This window comes from Homo sapiens, chromosome 1 (assembly GCF_000001405.40).
Source record: "Homo sapiens chromosome 1, GRCh38.p14 Primary Assembly".
Taxonomy (NCBI): domain Eukaryota; kingdom Metazoa; phylum Chordata; class Mammalia; order Primates; family Hominidae; genus Homo; species Homo sapiens.
Genome location: NC_000001.11, coordinates 72626980 through 72652355, shown reverse-complemented (window position 1 = coordinate 72652355; position 25376 = coordinate 72626980). Strand labels below are relative to the sequence as shown.

Sequence of the window (25376 nt, the reverse complement as noted above, 5' to 3'; positions counted from 1 at the left end):
ATTGTACAAATGTATCACTCTGGTGCACGATGTTGGTACTGGGAAGGCTACCTACATGTGGGAATAGGGAATACATGGGATGTTTATGTACTTTCTGCTCAATTTTACTGTGAACCTAAAGTGGCTCTAAAAAAGCAAGTCTATTAAAATAAAAAGTATCACATATACAACTTGAATTTATCTGTCTCAGAGGACACCTTGGTAGAAGACAGCATGTGATTTTTTTTAAGAGACAGGGTCTTGCTATGTTGCCCAGGCTAGAGTGAGAAGTGGCTGTTCACTTGGTTTGCACAGTCATGGTGTACTATAGCCTCAAAGTCCTGGGCTCAAATCATTTCTTCTGCTCAGCCTCCTGAGTGGCTAAGAAAAAGGCATGGTGCATCCAGTGAAATATTTGATTTTATTTCCCAGAGAATTTCTTCTAATATGAAACTTAAAGCTTGGAATATTAGTTACAGGTCTTGAAGCTCCCTAAAAAATTCCAACATATTTCATCACCACTGTCAAGCTTCCAAAATACTGCTGCAAAAAACCTAGACACTGCCACCTTTATGACAAACTGATAATGAATATGTCTAAAATCCAGCCATATTAGCTCCACCACTAGACCTATTTTAGGATAGTTTGCAATTTTGCATTTTCATAATATGTTAAACTGATTGATTTCCAGGAAAATTGCTTTTATTAGAAATTTAAACTTATTTTTTTGGTGATATTTCTATTCTAGGGAGCGTAACTTTCTCAGTGAGAATTTGCTTTCTAGGGAATATTAGGGACACCCCCATCACTTGCTTTGTTTCTATTTTTTAGAATACATTTGAAAACAGGTAATGAAGACACTGCCTCACAGTTTAGTGTGTTGATATACACAACCCTTCCTAAGGTGCAAATGCATGTAGTGGGTCACTTTCATTAGAGTGCCAAAGACTCGCAGCAGCTGGACATTCCTTTTTTCTACCACTCAGAAAACACTCTCAAGACATCTTTGCTAATGCTGACAATTCTGCTTTGTGTATTGAGATTCTAAAGTGTGCTAATTACCCTGGCTAGAATTCAAAATCTGATCTACTTTGCCAGGAATAAGACAGTAGTCCCTAGGATGCATGGAAGGAAAAAGCTAGCCTTCAGCTTGTTAAGCCACCATGAAGGCCACTTCATCATAGGAGTCTTTATGTCCCTAGAAGCCAAGAAAGATTTATAGAACTGCTTACAAATTAAAAGAGATGCTGAATACGCAAGAGCAGTGGCTTCAACTCACTGCGAACAGTGTCGGGAGAATTAGTTGTTTACCAGACTGGGAAGCTGCAAATGCAATTGAGCACAATATGAAATACAATAATCTGTAATGCCTGCAGTGACCACATACCCACATACCTACAAGGCTAAAATTGACTTTTTGACCTTAGAAATATATAAATATGCGTGTGTGTGTGTGTGTGTGTGTGTGTGTGTATGTACATATATATGCATGCCTTTGCTTAATACTTCTCAAACATTCAAAGCAATAATGATAATCTTGGTTCCCTCACCAATTTTTGAAAAAAATCGATAACTTTCCAATTGTGAGCATTTCTAAATTGCTAGGTTTTTAAGTGGAAATTCCATATGCCAAAAAAGAAAAAAAAATGCTCCATGGTACTGGCTCAATTATTTTGCAAATCTTTTATTAAGTGGAAGAAAACATTTGGATCTTTTTTCTGTTCCCTTGTGAAGTGATTAACCAAGTTAATTTGCAAAGTTAAAAGTGTTCTTTTTGTATTGCTTCTCCTGTATCAATAGCCAAAGCCTTGCTGCAATTGTTAAAAGTTTGAATTTTTAATAAATCTTGCTGCAGGTCTTCATTCACTATAATTCATGTTAACAAGATTCAATGAATATTGCAAATGATCATTTTTCTTGTTATTCAAAAGCTACTCACTAATTTGGCAAAAGGTTTGCCCACATCTGATTTACTTAATACCCGAGTAAAATTAGATAAAATGAAGAGAATTATATATTAGCAAAATGTTTAATTTAGGTCCATGAGGCTGCTGATTCAGGCTTTCCAATAGAGCTGGCTGCTAAGGCTTGGCCCAGAGACAGCAAACGCTCCATTCTCTTTCCTGGTCTTTTCATCAGGTTCCAGGATAAACTCCCTCTGCTTTCACTCAGAGCTTTGACCTCCCTCACCAAGTTTTTCAACATTTTTTTAACCTTCTGGGCCATTTTCACCACATTACAAATTGATTATAAACAGCCTCAAGTAATAACATAGGAAATGGTTGTTGGGTGCCTAATATTTTTTCATTACTGAGTCATACGGACTTTGTCAGAGTTTCAGGGGCGGGGGAAGTAGCAAAAATGTGTACTTCATTCTCAAAAACATAAAATTTGACAGGAGATAAAATATATCAAGAAACAATGACAATACAACAAAAGATGTATTCCATTAAATGCTAAATTATATCATGTCATTTGAGAGGTCTAACAATTCTAAGGAAATGTTTTTGTCACAGGATCCTTGGGGTGTCACTTTGCCAGCCAGAAACCTCTGTGGCGAGCGGGTTTTGCTCAGGCCTGCTGGGCCTGTTCCACCTACACGCCTGGCAGGCTGCACTCGGCTCGCACTACCATGCTGAACCCCACACCTGCCAAGGGCGAGACAGGTGCGGAATGGCAAGGGGTATGTAGGCGAGTGAACATGGGGTCCGGCCACTGCGCATAGCCAGTGGCTACTGCGGCGGGGCAGGCAGCTCTAGGCACCAGCACAGGTGCTGGCTCAGGTGCCGGCTCCATGCGAGGCTGTAGCTGGACCAGATGTACCGCAGGTGATTTCCACCGTGGACACCTACGTCTGGAGGAGAGAAACATGGTGGTACCCAGAAGCTTGGAGATGCCAGGAACTGCAGAGCCCGAAAAAAGAGTGTCACAGCCCCAGCTCAGGGAGCCCCTAGGTCTCGGCTTCCTGAAGGGCTGCAGCTCTTCCCTCCTTCTTGTCGCCGGCAACGTGGCAAGCGGGGATGGGGTTTCAGCCCTGTTTGTGTTACAGCTCTTTCAGTCCCGCCATTTGGCAGGTCCCAAGTTCTTGTCTTGCACCCAGGAAGAATGAGGTATGTGAACAACTGGAGGGTGAGCAAGGCAGAGAGGAGCTTCATTGAATGACAGAACAGCTCTCAGGAGACCTAAAGCTGGTAGCTCCTTTCCACAGGCAGGTCGTCCCAACGAGCGTCTGGCTCTTAGTGGAGAAGAGACCTAAGTGGGTAGCTACTTTCCATAGGCAGGTCATCCTGAGTCGTCCAGGAGACCCGAATTGGGTAACTCCTTTCCCACAGCTGGTCATCCCCACGTCTGTCTGTGAGTCTGGGTGAGTCCAGAGTTTTTACAGGCTTCATAACGGAAGAAGTGCATTCTGATTGGTCCATGGGCAGCCATGAGGCAGTTCCAGAAAAAGCATCGTAAGTTGCGGACTCCACCCAGTACTGACAGACTGTCCCCAAGCTTCCGGCCGTTTATGGCTTGAAGGTGGGGTTCAGGACGTCCATGGCTTGAAAGTGGGGCTTCACTGGGGACCCACCCCTTTCCACCCAGAAGCCTGTCTGCCTCCTGCCACTATCCATCATGTCATCCAGGGTTCCCAGGCTGTTCATGCCAAGGGGCACCTGCAGGCCTGTACCAAGCTGGCCTCAACTCCCCTCAGCCTCCCCTCCCATGCTCATCAGTGCCCAAAGTCCAGAGGGCACCAAGGTGACAAGGGGCTGGCATGTCAGCACCAGCCCGAGCGCATGCACACCCAGCTGGGTTGGGACAGCACTCAGGCTCGGCCTCAACTTTGCTCTGAAATTGGAGCAGGCACCAGGAGTTGGGAGAGTCCAGGCCGGGGAGCAGGCACTTCTGAGCCTGCAGGGGTAGGGGTGGGGGGCTCTTCCCCAGACCCGGAGAGTACAGAGATGCCTTGGTTCACAGCTGCAGCTGGGCAGCTGCAACTGTGCCCAGAAGGGCGGGGCTCCTCCCCACCAACTTGGAAGGGGGTGGGGTTCCCACCTGTTTCCAGCTCCTGTGGGCTCCGCAGAGTGCACAGCCCAGGTTGTGCCTCCCCCACTGCAGTGGTGTCTTCTCAGCAGCCAATCCATACGGCCGTGGATGCCATCACTTTGTGGTATACCTACAGCCTTAGGTAGAAATTGATTTAGAACATTATTTATTTATGTCAGTACTTACGGATTTAAATATTCTCTCTTGAATATCTTCTAATAATAATTAATTTGTTCTCAAATTACTCTAAAACAATAAATAAACATGGCAGTTTTCAGTGACTTGAGTTTCTAGAAAGTATGTGTTAGGCATAGTGAGGAAAAATAATGAAATTCTTCCTGTGTTGAAAATTTCACAAAATTTAAAAACTTAGGATGAAGCAAATATTCTATTGTTTTCCTTTTCTAGGAATGTTTTCCATAGATTTAAGTATAATCCACGTGATTCTTTGTGGCTGTCATTTTTCCTCCTTTTAAATAGAAATCTCTACAGTGGTTTTCATATGCCTGTCCCGCCACTGAAAGTTAGATGTGTGGGTAACACTTAACCCATCTCTTTAATTTCATAGGTCTAAAGATTATAAGGAACATATGTGGGGAGCTGTACTTAAAGAACTACACTAAGTGAGTTTCATCTACACATGAATTTGATTTAGATGATGAGAGTCCAGGCACTGAGCTGATGCTATAATGGATGATACTTTGGGGAACTTGGGAAAGGCAGAATATATTTACATGTGGGAGGGAATGAATCACTGAAAAACCAGGGGACATCTCATGGTACACAGCTTATAAAAAGACTCCCAATGATCCCTACTTCCTTATATAGAAGACTGCTTGTGTGTGATCTTCTCTTCTTAAATGTTGACTGGCTCTGGGGAATATAATATAACAAAAATGACAGGATATCATATCCAAGCTTAGTTTGCAACAGTACCATGACGTGTGTGTGTGTGTATCTATGCCTGTGTCCATCTCTGTCCCTCCTGTCTCTCTCTCTCTTGACCCTCACTGTAGAGAAAGCATACTTTAATTTTGTGAGCTTTTCTTTGGAGAGGTCTACAAGGTGCAGAACTGATATATCCAAGCAACATCTAGGGAGAACCTGAAGCCTACTAACAACTATATGAGTGATGTTGGAAGTATATCCTCCCCAAGGAGAACCTTAAAATGACTGCAGCCTCATTTGACACCTTTATTAAAGGCTTATGAGAGATCCTCAGCCAAAGATATTCAATTAAGCTGCTCGGTCAAAGATGCTAATTTCTGGAATCACTTTACAGAATAATTTTTTCTTCTTTACTCTGCCTTGCAAATTCAAGCTTTCTTCTGTTTCTTTGAGCTGTTATCTGAGACTCCTTAATTCAGTGATTCTTCAGTGCAGAACTTACGTTCTTCTCCCTGGTGTCTGAAAATTACTCAAGTCAGTAAACCAGGGAAATTTTAGGGTTCACTTCAGTTGTTTTCCTTCTGTCAGCAACTGGAAATTTGTGTTGCTCTTGCCTAATTTCCGAAACCAGTGTGGCAAATACTGTCTTAGTTCCGGCTACTATAACAAAGTACCGTAGACTGAGTGGCTTAGAAACTACAGAATTTTATATTTCTTACAGTTCTGGAGGCTAGAATGTGTGCCAGTATGGTCAAGTTCTGGTGAGGGCCCTTTTCCAGGTTGCAGATTGCTGTCCTTTCTTTGTATCCTCAACTTGCAGAAAAAGAGCAAGAGAGGTCTCTGAAGTTCTTTTGATAAGGGCATTAGTTCCATTCAGGAGGGCTCCACTCTCATCATCGATATACCTCCCAAAGGCCCCACCTCCTAATATTATTACATTGTCTGTTAGGAATTTAAATTTTAAGAGGACACAACAATTTAGCCCATAAAAATATATTGTCTCTTTCTTTTCTTTCCTCATTTTTTTTTTCTTTCTTCCTCTCTCTTTCTCTCTCTCCCCCTGGGGAAGCAAATCTAGTATACCACATATTCATGCTTGAAACATTCAACAAGTTTTAATTTTATTTATTTTTTAATTCCAAAAAGTTTTATTTCATTTTTCAATAGTGCTACTACCTTCAAGACTATCTCTTGTCCCTTTAAACACAGCAAAGATAGTTGTTTTCATGTCTCTAGTCAATAATAAAACACTTACAGGTCTATTTGTACAGTTTGTTGATTTTGTTTATTTTTGTTGTTGTTGTTTTATTTTGTTTTGTTTAGATGGAGTTTTCACTCTTGTTTCCCTGGCTGGAGTGCAATGGTGCGACCTCGGCTAATTGCAACCTCCACTGCCCCAGTTCAAGTGATTCTCCTCCCTCAGCCTCCTAAATAGCTGGCATTGCAGCCATGCACCACAACACCTGGCTAATTTTGTATTTTTAGTAGAGACGAGGTTTCTCCATGTTGGTCAGGCTGGTCTCGAACTCCTGACCTCAGGTGATCCACCCACCTCGGCCTCCCAAAGTGCTAGGATTACAGGCATGAGCCACCATGTCCAGCCAATTTTGTTAGGTCTTAATCTTGTAGTTCAGTTTTCTTTTCCTTACAGCTATCTTTGACTATGTGCTGGATATTATACTTTAGTAGCTATATATAGCTACTAATACAAATATAACTACAAGTACAAATTATTTATTTCAGAACTATATTGGACATATTTAAGAGAGAATTGTGTTTTTCTAGTTCGGGCAACAGGCCCATGATTGAACAAGATTACCTTAAAACAAATTCAAAGACTGAAATTCCCTGGATGATCTCTACTGGATTAGAATCAGGCAATATACACAGGAGATTAACACCAGACAGTAATTTCACACGGGCTTTTTTTCTTCTGACTTACTCTGATCCTGTGAGAGCAGCCATTTGGTATCTCATTTTTATGGGCATGGTCTGCTGTGAGAACTTGCCCCTTGATCCACCTGATTTGAGTTGTTTCTTTTTTTTATATATAATTAAAGCTTCAAGGACTGTCAATATAAAGGTGCTAATTTCTCTTAAGCGTAGATCACTGACAAGTTTGTTATCTCTCTGTTTTATTTTTCCTTTTACTTGGCCTCTAACAATTGTTTCCTGTTTTGTCACCCTTTATAAAATTAGAAGTGTTTTATTAAAATTTTCATTCATTATTTTTAGATTTTATTTTTCAGCATGAGTGTTGATTTGCATAACCTAGCCTACTGGTATGAACAATATGAAACAATTGAACATTTGCATGCCTTGATATTCCCATTTGTAAAATGGAGATAAAGTTTCACACACTTATTAATTAAATCAATTGAAATAATACATAAAATTATTGAGAAAATATAAAGCATTTTTCTAATATTTTTAAATCTTTTAATTTTTTCATTAACTAAACATCATATAGGGTATTTATGGGTCTAGCAATAAGCTATCCATTGGGACTGTAAGATAACTGAAACACAGACCAGATTCCTGGAAGAATTTGTTTTGCAGTATGAGAAGTAAACAACATGGATCAGAAATAACTTTATAATGCAATAAATAATCTGATTTTTATAAATATATAGATATTCTAATAAATTATGTACAATAAAGATGAGCGTAACAATTCTTATAGAAGTCAGAAATAGCCTTTAAAGGGTATGGTAATTGGGCTCAGTTTGGAAGTTTGAGTGATATTTCATTGGTCAGGAAAAAAGGGAGAAGTACATGGCTGGAGGAAAAGCTCTTTGGTGCAAAGCCATGAAGTCTGGAATGGAAGTGGCATATTGAGTAAAGATATAAAACATCAGTGAGAAGAAGGATCTTAAAAAGAAATAGCAAAAAATATAAGTAGGATAATCTGGAATCAGATTATGGAAGGTTTTGTATACATATTTCAGCTACTTGAACTTAAGCCTTCTGCCATGAAGAGATAATAAAAGTTTTAATGAAATGAAGTAACAAAACGAAATTGTGTACATGAAAGCTATATTTGCTAGAAAATGAAAGGCATAGTGGGAAAGCTAGAAATGACAAAGTGGGAAGTCCATTTAGAGTTGATTAAAAGCTACATATTCCAATTTATATGTGGTCACTGTTTAGGTAAAAGATTAAAAGATTCTGAACTTAGGCAACAGCTGGGCAGTTAGGAGAGGAAAAATAGATTAAAAAGACATTTGGGAGGTAGAACAGTCAGAATTTGATTAATCAGTTTGAATGGTAATGAAATAGGAGAAAAGCACATTTGGATAGGTAAGTATCATATGAGAGAATTTTCACTAGAACGCTCCGGGAGTTTGTATAACATATAAGTCTATAGGTGACAAGTAACCTTAATGCATACATTAGTAAAATCTATAGGGTAGAAAAGTTCACTCAGAGAGATTTGTAGAGTTAGGAAAGGAAAGGTGAAAATACGGAATTTGGGAACTGTGAATAGTTAAGAGGCAAGAAGAAAGAAAAAACAGGCGAAATGTTGAGATAGTCTAGGCAGAATCTTAAGGAGAATTCAGCATGGAGTGCAGACCCAAAGAAAGAAAGGAGATTTCAGAAGGAGTGGACAAGCTACATTAAAAGTTGCAGAGGAGTTAAAATAGAACAAGTTGATCTTTAGAACCAGCAATTTTTGCAACAATATCAGAGTTGGTGTTAGAGTGAAGTTGATTTCATAGAAAAAGGAAGGAAAATGTATAGATAGCAAGTATAGATTTCTCTTTTTAAAAGTTTTCAAATTAATGAGTGAGTGTCTAGATGAAAGGGTGATTTTTAGAATATGAGTGACTTCAGCATGCTTTTGCATTTGAGGATAAGTCGTTAATGAAAGATTCTGCATATAAAAGTGAAGGGATATAATTGAAGAAAGAAAGTGGTGAAAAGCAAGAAAAATGTTTCCACTGTCAGGTTCATGAAATGGTTTTGTATTTCCAAGTCTGCACTCCTATATTCAGGAGGGATTCCTAGCTCATACTGTGGTAAATATTATTGGCATTAGAAGTAGACATAAAATTGACTGTACAATTAAAAGATAGTGCCTTGGTTGTGGTACAATAATATAAAGAGTCAGACCTCCCATACATGTGGTTAATTGAGGTAAACTCCCAATTAGTCATTAGGCAAACTTCCCTGTGTGAATAAAGAAAAAAGTAGGGCAATGGTCCTGCTGTCATGGGATTTACATTTAGTGTCTTTTAATCACAGAGCAAATAACTTTAAAATTTTCCGAAGTTAGGTGCACTGAAATACGTTTCTATATTTTATTGTGTTTATGTTCACTTTTTAGTAGTTAATATACTTGTCTCCTATAATATTTAAAAAGCCTAAAAGTTATTACATATCTTACTCCCATCCTTGTTTTCCATCCACCCATTTCTCTTCTTGGAGGCATTCAGTGTTATTAGTTTTACTTGTACTTTACTTATACACGCTCACAAAAGAAAATGCTTACAAAGGCACAAGCACACACACACCCCACAGATTGTCATACAGTTAACCCTTGGACAATGCAGGAGTTAGAGGTGCCAACTCCATGTGAAGTAGAAAAGCTGCATGTAACTTTTGACTCGCTCAAAACTACTAGCAGCTTACTGTTGACCAAAAGCCTTATTGACAACATAAACAGTTGATTAACACGTTTTGTACATTATATGTGTTATATACTGTATTCTTAATATAAAGTATGGTAGAGAAAAGAAAATGTTATTAAGAAAATCATAAGGAAGAGAAAATTGACTTACTATTCATTAAGTGGAAGTAGATCATTATAAACGTCTTCATCCTTATCATCTTGACATTGAGTAGGTTAAGGAAGAGGTGGAGAAAAAGAAGGGGTGGGTTTGGTTTCAGGGGTCTCAAAGGTGGAAGAAGTTGAAGAGATGAAAGGGGAAGCAGAAGAGGTAGACACAGCCAGTGTAATTTTATGGAAATACTGTAATTTCTCTCTTTTTATTTATCTAGAAATGTTTTTATATGGTACCAATCCCTCTTTCACTATTTGCTTTAGTTTCAATATCCATATCATGGAAGGGTACATGTCATAAAAGAAGACGAAAGCAGTCTGGAATAATGAGAACACTTCTGCCTGAATGTATTGTGTCAATTTCTTTTCTGGTATTGCTTCTTCTACCGTTTCTTCCTTATCATCTGGCTCAGGCTTGGAAGCATTCATCTCCATCAAGTTGTGTCTTCTGTCTGTTCCTCTGGTGTGGTATCTATTAGCTCTGAACTGCTTCAAAATCTGTCTTGAACTCATTCAACCACTCTGCACCCACCTTTTTGCCATATCCACAATTTATTTGTAAATCCTGTGAAGCCTTGCACAACATCTAGACACAGTTTTCTCCAGCAGGAATATATTGTTACAGGCTTGATAGCTTCCACACCAACAACAATGGAATCTTCAATGGTGTAATTCCTCCAAATGTTCATGAGGTTTTTTCTCTATCAAAGTTCTCTTCCATAGTGTTGAGACATTATTTCCATAGATTATCATGTGTAAGGAGCTTTTCACTTCCTCATGATCCCATGATATAGAAGTTGAATTAGGATGTCATGTTTGGGAGCAAGCAGACCACTTTAACACCTGTGGTGCTGCACTCATGAGGTTCTAGGTGGCCAAGGGCATTGTCCAGTATCAAAAGAACTTTAAAAGGTAGTCCCTTACTGACAGTGTACTTCCTGACTTCAGGGACAAAGCATCATTAAAACCAATTCAGAAAAACAGTTGTCGTTGTCCAGGCCTTCTTGTTATGCAGCCAGAGACTGGCAGCTGGTGTTTATCTTTTCCTTTCAAGTCTCAGAGAATTAGCAGCTTTATAGATAAGGGCAGTCCTGATCATAAACCTGACTGCATTTGCACAAAGCAGTAAGAGTCATCCTATCCCTTCGTACCTTAAATCCCAGTGCTCACTTCTATTCCTTACTAAGAAATGTCCTTTGTTGCATGTTTTTTTCCCCCAGAATAGGGCATTTTTGTCTGCATTCAAATTTTGCTCAGGCAGATATCCTTTCTCCTCAATGATTTTCATAATTGTGTCTGGGAACTTGTCTGCTGGTTCTTGACGAACAGAAGCTTCTTTTCCTGTTATGTTAACATTTTTTTAAGCCAAACTTCTTTCTAAAACTATCAAACCATCCTTTGCTGGCTTTAAATTCTCCACCTTTAAAAACTTCACCTTCATTTTGCTTTAAGTTGTCATATAATGACATCATTTTTCACTAATAATATTAGAGTCTATAGGTAGGCCTTTCTTATAGCAATCCTGTACCCTTATAAAAGCTACATATACAATATAAAATTAAAAGTTATTTCACAAAAAGTGCAAGGTTTTTGTACCTGCTGGCATAGCTGCAGTGACAGTCATGAATTTCCTTTTCTTTGTTTACAACAATGCTTAGTCTGGGTCCCATTTCTCTTGAAACGGCAGGCAGCAGAAATTTATTCAGTTGAGCCAGCTATAGACCTCAATCTACAGCACAGATCAAATCATTCAAATTTTTTCTTGTAATGTCATGATTTTTTCTTCTTCCTGGTAACACCTCCAGCATCACTAGTTTCATTTTGTATGTGTTCTATGGTGTTATTCCAGGTTTATGGTACTGCACAAAGCATGATGAAAAATAAGCCCGAACTGCAAGAGGTCACTTTTTACTAACATACACAATTTACTGAAGAGCAGAACTGTGCACTGGGAGATGATTACCTTCACATGGTGTTTTAAGTGGACACTCACAACACTTGAGCTCACCACAATAGCAAGAAGAGGGGACTACAAAATTATTATAGTAGCACAGTATTTACTGCAATTAATTGCCTACTGCTATTATTTAATACTGAATGTCCCTTTCACTGCAAATGCCACCATGTACAGTCTGTCAGTGTACACAAACATTTTGATAAATTTTTAAAAATTGATTTGGGTATATTTTACGGTAGTAAATAATAAAATTGGCTGGTATCTACATACATTTTATGGATTCATGACATACCTTTTTCTCAATTTTTTGATGATTCTAGGTTACATGGCTCATTTCTTGAATTTTTCAAAATTGTCCCAAATGCCCAAAATTTTTCCAAAATATTTATTTAAAAAAATTATTGGCTGGGCACAGCGGCTCAAGCCTGTAATCCCAGCACTTTGGGAGGCCGAGGCAGGCGGATCACAAGGTCAGGAGAGCGAGACCATCCTGGCTAACACGGTGAAACCCGTCTCTACTAAAAATATGGCGGGCACCTGTAGTCCCAGCTACTCGGGAGGCTGAGGCAGGAGAATAGCATGAAACTGAGAGGCGGAGCTTGCAGTGAGCCGAGATTGCGCCATTGCACTCCAGCCTGGGGGACAGAGAGAGACTCCATCTCAAAAAAAAAATCTTACATAGGTGGACCTGCACAATTCAAATCCTTGTTGTTCAAGAGTCAACTGTATTATAAATACATGCTTAAGTGTCTTGCAATCTCATTTAACATCATATTCAATAGAATATTGCATGTAAGCATGCAGCTATCTTTTCAAACTTTTTATTTTCTGTTTCTTAATATTTCTTTCAATCAGTATGACAATAATAATTTCAACATAGACTTTTAGGCTATCTCTAGTCTTAAGCTAATGTAAAAACTGCTGCAAATTATGGTGCATATGTCATTTTACTGACTAATCCTTTGATTTTTCCATTATTTTCAATTTTATTTTGCTTGCTTCTCTCATCTTGCTTTGCTATACTTTTTTTTTTTAGCTCTATCCATTTCATTTTTCATTAATATAATGCAGGGTGGGTGAATTTTATTCCTCCTTCTTCCTTATGCTTGCTAACTCTTGCTTCATTTTCTCCTCTCACCTTACTCTACCTTTAAGAGCTCCTTACAACTGCTTTATTTTCCTATTAATAAGGACATTTAATGTGTTTCTTTTTTTCTTAATTTTTGGCAAAATGTTGGACCACAATTGCATCACCTCTATGGAAACAGCTTTCTTTTTTTCTCCTTTGCGGGTTGTTTTTTTTCTTTTCCACAGTCATTGATATTGTTTTGCAGTATACATCTTGTACTGATTACTTTTTGATTAACCATCTTTGAATACACGAAGTTTTTCTTCCCCCAGCTATTTGCTGTGTAGTGCTCAGGGCCATAATTCAGGAAGTTAAAACTTTTTTTTTGGATGACCAAGAGTTGTGTAGATGAGTTCTTTCCTATTTTATGTCTCTTTATGTAATATTTATTCAATTTGACCACCAGCACTGAATGTCTCTTTGGTTTTAAGGGCAGAGTGCTTCCTGAAAACATAGCTACTTTTATAGATCTCATCCAGCCCTTCTTTCCCTAAATCTCTGAACTAAACGAGGTCTAGCTCCTGCTTTCAGCTTTTATACCCATTTTTTTCATTTTTCATAAAGTAAAATTTTGTATTGTACCTTCAGGGATTGCTCCTCAAATTGAAATGATTATTCTCTGTACTCCTCTGAGCTCTTTCAAATATCTGAGCATTTGGTATTTTGAAGGCAATATTTTGAGATAGCTGTCTCTTCTTCCCTCCGTTAATCTTGGGACATCATTTTACCTTCAATCCTAATCAAAAACATTATGCCAATTTTTTTCATGGATAGTATCTCGATAATATCTTGCAATATTTTTACTTATAGTTTAGAAGATAAGAAGCTAAGCCTGAAAAAAATAATCACTCAATTTTTGGTCAGACAATTCAGAAGTAACTAAGCCAAACATTCAAACCAGGTATGTCTGACTTCAAACACCATTCTTTTTTACCATAGACAATACTGCTACAGAAAACGTTTTTCATAAAAATACAGTTAACGATGGATATTGAGGTGTAATCCAAACTATGATACTATTTATCAGTTAGAAACAAAACATAAATAGATAATAAGTATTATAATATTGTTATATTTGTACTACGAAAACATTTACTATTTTCTAACATTATAAGTTGAGGGATGTACTTTGCGACTTAAAGGCTTTAATATTCATGGATTGATTTTGCCACCCACAGCCACAGCCCCAGTTACCATTACAAAAGAAAACTCTTTAAAGTGATTTTATGGCTAATTATCAACTGGCCACATTCTTAATCACATAGGTGGAAAAATAAGCACCCTACCTTAAACTCGATATAGAAAAAAGTATTACATAGCACATTACAGCAATAAATAAAACTTCCTCTAAATCTTGATAAATAAATGCTCCACTTAGCAAAGTACTTGGATTAAGCTGTCTTTCAAACAATAGTGTCTTTCTCATTAGGTTACTGAGTATCAGTGTTACCTGTTTACAAAACAATGCAATGCACAATTTGATTTGAAGTCTACCTTACCTTAATTTAGAATAAAAACACACTTTTCCTCCTATTCATTTACATCTTCAAGTTAGTCTTTGGTGTTGTTGTTGTTTAATAAGGATTTTTTTAGAGGCCTAAAAGGAAATGCTTTCCATTTTAGAAAAATGCCTGGAGTTGCCTGGCTGCATGTGTGATAAAGCACTATATAAATCTAAGTTGTTGTTGTTGTTAATGGGATCTGTTCTCACAAAACATCATTGTATGAGTGGCTTTTATGCTGAGGCTGCCTACAGGAGGGAGGGAAGTGGAGATTTTACTCCTGCTTTAAAAGGAAATAATCAGTCTGCAGGTGGCTGCATAGTGGGATAAGCAAATGGACTAAGTGTAGCACATGGTTTTCCGCACAGAATAACACCAAACAAGAATGAACCAGATAAAGATCTTTTGTACAAGCAGTGTTCTAAAGAAAAGCTTTGAGCTCCTAACTCCTCATGTTTATGCAGGAAAATCATGGTATGCTTAAAATTAGATTTTTCTCCACAGGAACTTCTTACTATAATGTAGAACTGAAGCAGTATATAATTTTAACACTTCTATGCCTCCAAATCATCTTAACCAATTCTGAATCAGTGTTAGGATGTTATCGGCCAAAATGAATCCATGGTCTTTGATCTGCACTGTCTACCCTAAAATCAGAGTCAATTCTTTTTTTTTTTCCCCAAAGAATTTGTCCAAGGTTCAGAGATAATATATACTTTCATTTAGCTCTAAATAGGAAATGAGTTCTTAAAAGAAGAAAGTAGGCTTAAAGCAGTGTTGAATTATTCCAAAGAAATGCATTATTTCAGGTTTTTCATAACCTTTTATTCAGCTCAACATTATTGTGCAGTTGAAAATATTTGGCTCACCCCATGGAATTTGGAAAATATGTTGCTTCAAGTCTGTAGTACAATGAAATCAGGATAATTTCAACTCAGTCTGATTATCAAAGGTAAGTACTTTCTTGAAAAACACTGCCAGATACCACAGCTTGCTGAGGGAAAAATGAGAGATGCCAAAATTCATTTCAAAATACCCCATGCATGTGTTTAGAAAAGAGTTTTAGCAACAACAAAGGTGTTCACTATTATAAGATGTTCAGCCGCTTACCTCTAGCTTCAGAGAGTCTATTCCCTGTTCTTGTCACCTAACTCTAATGTTGGGAGGCAGCTGAGTGGCCTCCAGGATAACCATATTGCAGGACAAAAGAAAGGAGATGAGATGGAAGAGTTCCAGCTTCAGCCCTGCGGAGCCTGTGAGCTGGTGCCAAAGATAACAGAGTAGCATCAAAGGCTGTATGGGACAGCTGTACTGGCAGGGAGCTACAAAGGCAAAAGAGAGAGAGAAAGGCAGGAGAGAGAGACAGAGAGAGAGAGAGACAAACAGAGAAAGACAAAGACAGAAACAGAGAGACATTGAGACAGAGACAGAAAGATACAGAGAGGAAGATCTTAAAATATGTATATTTTAGTATTATGAGTTCTAAAGGATGCGGGAGAAATGGGATGAAGAGATGAAAGACAACAGGAAAATAGAGAAGATGGATAGAGGAAGAAAGGAGGGAAAGTAAAGAGAACAAAGGAGGAAGAGAGAGAGAAGTAAAAACAAAGAAGGGAGGGAGGGTGAGAACCCTGTGGCATAGCGACAGAAAGCAAGGCTGCTGGACTAATTTAAAGGTCTAAGAACAACGAAATGATCATTAGGAAGCTGGTCATATATTTAGGTTCCTTCTCAAACAACTGGGAGGACAACAATCAGTTCTTTTGTCAGAATTTCCTTCAGGGTTTTTTTGTTAAATATGTCAACCACCAAAACCACAATTGCAAAAATAAAAGAGAATCCCGTGCTGAAAATAAATCACTTCTAACTTCGTTAGGGAGTTTAACAGTAGGTTAGGGAAATGAGGGAGGTGGTGTGTGTGTGTATGTGTGTGTGTGTGTGTGTGTGTGTGCGCGCGCGCGCGCGCGCGCGTGCGCTGCAAGTTGCTGACAATATATTATGGAAACGATAAATTATGAAAGATTAGGCTAGCTAATGAAAAACTAACAAGTAGAATATTTGATCTACAGCAGAGATTCTCAACCAGGGGCATTTTTTCTCTCTCCAGAGACATTTGGCAATGTCTGGAGACATTTTGATTGTCATGACCGCAGAGTGCAACTGGCAGTTAGTGGACACAGGCCAAGGATATTGCTAAACATCCTACAATGCAGAGGATAGCACAACAAAGAATTACACAGCCCAAAATGTCAATAGGACAGAGGAGGTTGGGAAACCTTGATGTACAGTTAGAGAGACATATGTTTAGATTTGGATTAAACACTTTGCTAGTTGTGTGACCCTGGACAAGTTATTTCAGTTCTTTGTGTCTCAGTTTCTTCATTGATAAAATGGAGATAACATTATTTCTTCAGCGTGGTGTCAACCTTATCCCTGTGTCTGGCACTAGACTGGTATGCCACAGCTATTATTATTTTTTCCTTCTTTCCATAATCTAAGTGTGGGATGAAGTAAAATAAAATAATAGCAATTAATGGATAAAATATGCCCCAACTTCTTTTTTCTAGTATGTATGAGAAGGTTAGAAACAATGCCAGTTTTCATAGTACATAAAGATGTCATAAATTCTTGCCAAAACAAACAAGTAAATAATAGAAAGGAAGCTCTATGAAATTTAAATGGGGGGCCTTTTCTTAACTGAATATGTTAATAAAATATAACATTTTTATGGCTTTAACATTTATACTCTTGTATTCGATGCCTTTTCTCTTCACCTAAACCCTAGGCTGTGTTCTCATCTACAGGCACAGTTTCTCTTTTCCATGATGTATCACACATGTAATTGCCCTGTTTAGGACTGTAATTCCTGCTGTGCTGTAAGCTTGTGGAAATAAACTGAGACTACCCAAAAGAGAATGAGCAAATGCTATTTATTCACTACTTGCTACGGCAAGGAAGTAAGCCAGCATTACTTACATTTGGCACAGACTCAATGCCAGGCAGAGGAGTGGGAAAGCTTTACAGTAGGAAAAAAAAAGGAAGGATTCAGGTATGCTTTGACTGGGGATGTTGGCATAGGGAGGCTGGAAATGGATTAACTAAAAGTAGAGCGTTCTATGTCATTGGTTAAATGAGATCTATTTGGTTTTCTCTGGTTAGTCCTAAGGTGGAAGTAGCAACAAAAATTGAGAAAGCTGTCAGCTATTGATCTGATCAAATACTGACTGTTTGAGGCTGAAGACTACAGAAGAGGTGATTTGGCTTCTTGAGCTGGTTGCTGAAGGTGTGAGTCAGAATTCTAGTTTAATATATGGTCCAGCTGCTGTCCATTTGACTATTTAGCTGTTCAAGTTCCTGGAAAAGGGATATCATGTTTACCTTACTCTATTTCCAAAGCTGAGTTGAGCAAGTTAAAAGTAACAGTGACTAAAAGCATGCAAAGAAATGCCCAGTAGTGAGTAAACGACTTGTATTCTAGATTATGTTCCTTTCTTTTAGTACTCATTTTAGAGATCTCCAGTAGAATAGGTGGTAGTTAAAATAGAAGAATCACATAAAAGCAGGCCTTCTGATTTCCAAATAAATCACATGGATCTAGGAAAAATGCATACATTTTATTCAGCAAAGATTTATTGAACACCATATATGTATCTAATCCTCTGCCTGTAAGGAGTTCAGATTTTATTGAGGGACATAGACTCATAAAAAGATAATTATAGATGTATGCTCCTGGCCATGACAGAGTAACAGTCTAGATTTATTCTCTTGCCTCAATTAATTAAAAAACAGGACAAAATATATAAACTTGTTTTCAATCATTGAAGAGTAGCATCTCACCAGAGTGACCTTAATAGAAGAAAAATAGAGTAAGCGTAGCAATTGCCCCAGCTTGCAGCTTGGACAGTTCAGGTAGACCTTAGAGCGCAGAGGACCCTAAACAGGGCCCAGTCATCTCCCTAAATTGATGAGAAAGAGTTTATTCGGAGGGATCTCTCAAGTCTCTAGCTGAGTAATGGTCAATACAGATGTGTAAGAAAACCACCTGAGGCTATGAAAAGAAACACACAGGAAAGGGCAGGTAGGATAATGATCAGAGTTGACACAGGGGTTTGGGAACAGTGTGTTCTCACCAACCAGGGTAGAAAGACGTTAAAACTCATGCAAAATTGAATAGAGTATTCAGAAAGGTCCGCTTTGTAGACAGGACAAAAAGCATGTACCACCAAAGGAAAATAAAGTGAGTATATTGAACCTCATAAAAATTTAAAATGTCTTCTCTTCATATGATATTGTCAAGAAAATGAAGAGGCAAGCCAGAGACAGGAAGAAAATGTTTGCAAAACAAATATTCTAAAAAGGACCTGTATCTAGAATATATAAGGATTTTTTACAGTACAATAATACTAATAATCTCCCTCCAAATAATGTGTACACTTTAGCAAAGAAGATATATGGATAGCAAATGAGTACATATCATATAGAGATGCTGAACTTCCATTGTCATTAGAAAAAATGCAAACTAAAACCACAACAACATACCACTACCCATTTATTAAAATGTCTAAAATGAAAATGGCTGCTCATCGAATTGTTAGCAAGAATATAGAGATTGAAATTCTCATACATTGTTGGTGAGAATGTAAAATGGTACAAGTGTTTTGGAAAACAGATTAGCATGTTCTTAAAAAGTGAAACATATACCTACAAAAGGATTCAGCCATTCCATAACCTTGAGAGGAAAATGAAAGCAAATGTCCACACAAAGACTTGTATGCAAATGTTGATTACAGTTTTATTTGCACACCAACTTCCATCAACAGGTGATTGGATAAACAATTTGTGGTCTTTCCATGCAATATAAATTCTACTCAGCCATTGAAAGGAACTATCACTGTTCTATGTACCAACATGGATGAAACTTAAAATAATTGCAGTGACAAAGTCAAACAAAAAAGGAATTATGTTCTATGTTTTCATTTATATTACATGTTTAAAAATACAAAATCATCTATTGTGACAGAAAGCAGATTGGTGCTTGCCTGGGGATGAGGTAGGGGAGGGAGAGGAAGGGATGGATTATGCCAGGGCAGGAGGACATTTTACAGAATGATGAATATGTTCATTATCTTGGTTGTAGTCATGGTTTCATATGATGTGTTTGTGTGTGTGTGTGTGTTTGTCAAGACTCACCAAATTTTACAAATTAAATATGTACAGTTTATTATACATCAATTATGCTTCGATAAAAGCTGTAAAAACGGATCAGTTTATTCCTGATCAACAATGTTCAGGTACATTTCTTTTCTTCTTTATGGACAACCTTATTTCTTAGTTTTATCAAATTAGTTTTATACTACGCTTTAGTCACCTTTTTTCTTCTTATAACATTAGGTATTCTTGTTCACTCAGCTTAATAAAATCAGCAAGCTTAATATATTCCCTATTTCAACAATTAGAGAATATATAACCAAATTTACAGCAAGTTTTTAGGTGTTTCAAATATTTCTGCATGGAGTTGGGTAGGCAGCTGATTGGTTTACCTTGGAGAACAGATACTTTTCGGAGGTAAGAATAAATTTCTAAAAAGAAAAAATAAGCCTGACAAGATATAAATTTAAAATTTTTTATAAAATTAAATTTGAGATTCAGAAATACGTTTTTGAAGATGTTGAATACAGATAGTGACTTCATGAAGTAAATAATTTTAGTATGGTTTGGGATTGGGTTTATGGTGTGGAGAATTTTTAACATAACCAATAATTTCAGTTGCACATATTAGGTATACATATAATAAGGCCAAATTTATAAATTAGTAAAATAAACAGGATTACAATATTTCAAGTAAAATGATATTTTTAAAGCATTAGTCACTTTTTAATTAACCACTATAAGCAATAGATATTGATTTATAAATGAATACCTTTTCATTTCTGAAAGCAATATCTGCATGTTTTATTAAAAGTAGCAGGTATTTTTATAAATCAAAAATTAATTTATAACTCTATTTATCTGTTAAATGTAAAACTGAGCAAATTACTCAGATCATGAAAACAAAAAACTTTGCCAAATTGTCACACAGACATTTCAAGCAATAGTGTTTGGTTAGTCTTCACTCTCCCAGTTAACTGTTGTTATCCCCAAATTTTGTGTGTAGACGCTGTTTTACAATTGGTAGGAGCCACTGTATAACTATATCTTTGGCCTTATTATGCTAGTTCCTCCATTTGCTTTGGATGCTATAACGTTTTATTTGCTATGTCTGAATTAATAGCTCTGTTCCAATAACAAACTAAAATGTTCTCCAGGCAACTTCAATATTCTAAGGAAAACATGGTCCAAGCAATCTATTTTCTGACACTCTTTTACACTTACCCATCCACAGTGATGGAAAAAGTGACATAGTATAGATCTGCAAGTGACAGATTCCCAGCCAGGTTTGTTTCCCCAGCCCTAAACTCACTTAGCAACTCAGACAAAAGAATTTGCTGATGATGTCCTCTACATATACACACAGCCCAACTTAAACACGTTCTCTGAAAATCAAAATGACACAAATGTCCTAAGAATCTATATGCAGTTAGAGAACTCTTGCAAAACAGCAAGAAATAAAGGGTAACACTCCTAAATCATATTCTTTGATAGTTCAGCTTCTCTGACCTAAATGACTCTTACTTCTTCAGTCTGTTGTAACCCATGTACTGAAACACATCCACAAAATCAGAAAGATGGCAGAAAAAGACATGAAATGAAATTCAAAACAGAAGATAATCAGTGAATTGGTAAGAATCAAATTAGGCAATTCTGAAACATGTATATGATGGAAGATTGTAAAACAGTGATAAGAGAGTCAGTGGAAAATAACTGATTAAAGTATACAAGTTAATATTTTCAGAATAATTTACTTAGCAATGTTATACAAATCTCTCAACTAGAAAAGACAAAGCATCTTCATAATCTAATTATTTCAAAAATTCTGTTAGCATAATAATCCAGTGCCATCCTTGGCATGGTATTGCTATTGAGTGCTTCAGTTGCCATCATGGCAAAATCATTTAGAGAAAGTAGCTGTTCATTTATATAAAAAAACTGTTTAGAGTATCACATATAAATAAAATATTTTGATTGAATAAAAATGGTTGCTATAATATGTTAGTATAAAATAATCCCAAGGAAAACACTTTTAAGTAATTAATTACTTGATATTTACAATGGAATAAAGCACATTAAGAACCTTATGATAAGGAATTAAAACACAAAATACCAAACAAAGGAAAACTTCAGTGACATTTTAAACATTTCTGATATTTCAGCTTAGCGCTAAAGTTAATAATATGCTAAATGTGCAGTGTCTTACACATGGTATATTCTCAATACATCTCCATTTGAATAAATGGAAGAAGAAAGTGTCCATATGAATCCTATAAGTCTTAAAATTATATTTATTCTATTGCTCTCATTGCTATTGAGTTTCAGAATGCATTGTGCTATGAATCGTATTTCCATATAATCCAGTAGAAATTGAGTTTTACTGCTTATATTTTAAATAATTAAACATATTAAAATATTGACATAGATAAGTTTTACAACGAAATGTCTGTAAGGAATAAGGAATATAATCAATGTATTACAGATTTAAAGTGTTTTGGTTGAGGTCACTAGAGTCCAACCCTGAGCTAAATCTATTTTATTAACTAACGGCAAAATATTGATTTAAACTCCAAGAAAAGCTGAAGGGATAAGAGTTACGTAATGCTGAGATCAATTTAGTTACTCGCAAATCACATGGTACCAAAAAGAATATTTTTAAAGAAACCTGAGAGATAAAGAATTTTAATAAAAGATGAATTGTCTTAATTAACTTCAAAGAAGTGTGGTAAGCAAAACTTCTATCACATATTCTCTGTCCAAAAGAGAGATAATTATGAGAACAAACTATTTGTTAAACAATATTTTGGGTAATTTATATTTATTAACTCTGAATTCTTACAACATCCCTATGCATTTGCATATTTTGTAGGGGGAAAAATATAGCAAAAAACAAGCCTTTCGTGTTCATCCTGTAGGCAATCTCACTGTAGATTCTTTGCAACTACTCTACACTGCCCCTAGGTTGTTCAAATTTATGGGAGTTTGGTGCCAGGAGGAACACCAAGGTCTAAGCTCTCATATTTTTGGCAGATTTTTTTTGTCATACATTTTTCACTTTCCAATGGGCAAAAACTATAAGACATTTTTGGCAATGCAATTCCTGTATATTACCTCTATATTTCAATATTTTTATGATGTATGATTCGAGGCATTTTAAAAAGCATTATTAAATGGTATTACTCTAATTCAGTTTGAGGCACAGTGATATTTTTCATAGCATCTCTGGGAAACATCATGTGCTTATTAGAAGGGAAATATTCTGACATCAATACCTTTAGGCAGTTTGGTTGAAAGAGAAATGCATTTGAATATGATTCTCATAATATAGACAATCATAGCTGCATTTCAAGTTCAGAAAGAGGGAACAGCTTTACTCCTAAATAAAAACAGATATTATGTCAGAAGGTTTTAAAATCCATGCTCTTCAAAAGCTATAATATTCAGAAGCCTAGAAAAATAATCTGATATAATCCAAATAAACACCCCTGTCTGTCACATAACCTTTAATTATGATATGGCAACTGTAATTTCACCTAATTAGAAAAGGTGAACCCAATTTTGAATTGCAAATTATATCTTTTATGAAAGCTTTTATGAAATTAAGCCATCCTTAGACTGACAGACTCAGTCAGTATGGTTTGAGGTGCCCTATGATGTGACATTTTTGATAAATCAGTGAGCCATCCCAAAACGCTTCTAGATGGAACCAGTCACTGGTTTTGATGCTAGTAGGTACAGCTTTCCAATTAAGACTTGCGGTATAATGTATGAGGGTTGGCACTCTAACCCCCTCCAATCTCCCTGAACTCCTGTTTTCTCATTTGTAAATGGGGATAAAAATACCAACATTTTAATGAAATTATAAGAGCTAAACAAGAATCATAGGAAAATACTCTGATAGGCACTCAAATCATTTTAACTGAATTTAGTTGCAATTAATTTAGGATTGTATGCTTTTGATGATACACAATTCTACTTAGAGTAAGGGAAATCTTTATTAAGAGTAAAAGCCTAGACTATTTTTTAGTTTTACAATTAGTTTTACAGAAATTAAACTTTCACTTTCACTGGTTGATTATGTAATTTTACTCAATAAAAATAAATTGAACAAAAAGGATTAGAAGTTTTAAATCCCTAAGATTTTTAAAATGACTAGCCTAATGAATTTTGGTTGAACAAAATATTATTTAAAATGTAGATGTGAATAAAAATTCCAATGTTCTATTGAGAGTAGCAACTAACAGACATTTTTGTGAACGAATTTATTATGAAATTACACAGATTAGAGGAAAAGTTTTAAGATCCTTTATACTAAAGGCACAGTCCAGGCTTCAGATTTCAGTCATTTCAAACCTTATCAAAAACTAACATTGTCCTAAAATTGAAATTATTCATTTAAAAATAGGCATCCTAATCAAACCTTCAAAGTGTCTGAATGACAACAAGAAAAAAGATCATTGTATTAAAAGAGCAAACACAAAAATATATATTGAATTTTTTTCTCTAAAGTTTAAAAACACAACCCAAAAGAGTTTTTTGTGTTTACTAGTCTATAGATAATTTCAAAAAGTTATTAATGCAAAGCTTCTTAGATTTTAATATGCCTAAATAACATTGAGAAGTGAACCTTACTACTAGGTCTTATCTTAATAATGTATTATTTTATAGTTCTGTTATCTGGTGAAAATAAATGAAACAAAACACCAGCATGACAGCAAGCACAGATATTCTATTGCTAAGTTTTCTACCAGTGCTCCCAGAGAATAGAAGGTAGACCTGAAGAAAAAACACTTTTAGTAAAGGTGAGAGTCTTTCAGCAGAATTTAGAGTGTTATTTTTCAAATATAATTTCAAGAGAATTTGTATAAACTTCTCCCCACTATTGAGAATGGCATTCTGCAGAAAATTCATCAGCATATATTGTGCAAGGAGAATTATGGGCAGTAAAATGTTCAAAGAGTGTTACAACTTTTAATTTTCGATTTCACATGAGTTTGGACAATGGCTGGAAGAAAAAAATATATACAGTTCATTCAGTCTATAGTAAAGATAGAAAGGTTTAAAGGTTGAAACTTGAGGAACTAGCAAAAGATCTTGTGAACTTTAAAAATATATGTAGAATATTCCATAAAGTGATGAAACCGTTCTTGACAGGAATAGCACAAGCACTCGTCTCACAACTCCTGGATAAAGATTGAGCTATGTTCTTTAGGCAAGGAGTTGTAATATACATGGGAACATGTTTCAATAATGACTATCATGTATGAATTGGTACTGTTCATTCTAAATATTTATCATTAAACTTAAGCACTAAGCAAAGTCAGTCATTTTTAAGATTTTATTAACTACAGAATGAGGGTTTATATAAGATCCACTAGAATATAGACAAATGAAAATGTTTTACAATAGGTCAAAACGGAAGCAAAATTTCACCTTCCCATGTTAATCCAAGGTCAAGAATAGGTGAAAACATTAAACTTCACCTAACTTATAAATTCCCATTAAAATAATTCTCATTAAAAGTAAAAAGAAGTTGGTTTGACAGTTTTAATCATTAATAAATTAACCAAACACTTTAGTATCATGTTAATATATAGCAACAACTACTCAAATATTAATAGGTTTTGAGCTGACAACCTTGGAGTATTTCATTTTTGCTAATAATGGTAAATAGTATTTTTGTGCTATTGTAAAGAACTGGCAGGTAGGAATCATATCTTTGTACATATTAAAATATCAATAATTAGGTTTCTGTTTTTATTTAGTCACTACTTCATTTTAGTCCACTGAGCTGAAATTACTTGCATAGGGGTTACCGAGGTCTGACAGCTATGTTGGGGAGCACCTACAGTCAAGAAAAAGAACCTAATAGAACTTTCTTGTGAGGGCTGCCAATGAATTTTTTTCTGAGGATGATACGCTTTCTTTCTCTTTTCCTTTTTTTTTTTTGTTTTTGAG

The 25376-nt window shown here is 36.2% G+C and overlaps 1 long non-coding RNA gene across 4 annotated transcripts in view, besides 1 other annotated feature; it reads right to left on the bottom strand.

The window, feature by feature from the left end:
* LOC105378797 (uncharacterized) overlaps nucleotides 1–25376 on the bottom strand; it is a 396491-nt gene that overhangs the window by 27069 nt on the left and 344046 nt on the right. For all 4 annotated transcript variants that reach the window (XR_001737670.2, XR_947505.3, XR_001737671.3 and 1 more), the window contains one exon: nucleotides 4021–4148. This is a non-coding gene — a long non-coding RNA (uncharacterized LOC105378797). The remainder of the gene's footprint in view (nucleotides 1–4020; nucleotides 4149–25376) is intronic.
* Nucleotides 3221–4201: an enhancer, noted in NCBI's record as "H3K4me1 hESC enhancer chr1:73113838-73114818 (GRCh37/hg19 assembly coordinates)". NCBI's record gives its function as "activates a minimal SCP1, AML or CMV promoter by ChIP-STARR-seq in naive H9 embryonic stem cells {active_cell/tissue: H9 hESC(naive)}" and the evidence as "EXISTENCE:reporter gene assay evidence [ECO:0000049][PMID:30033119]".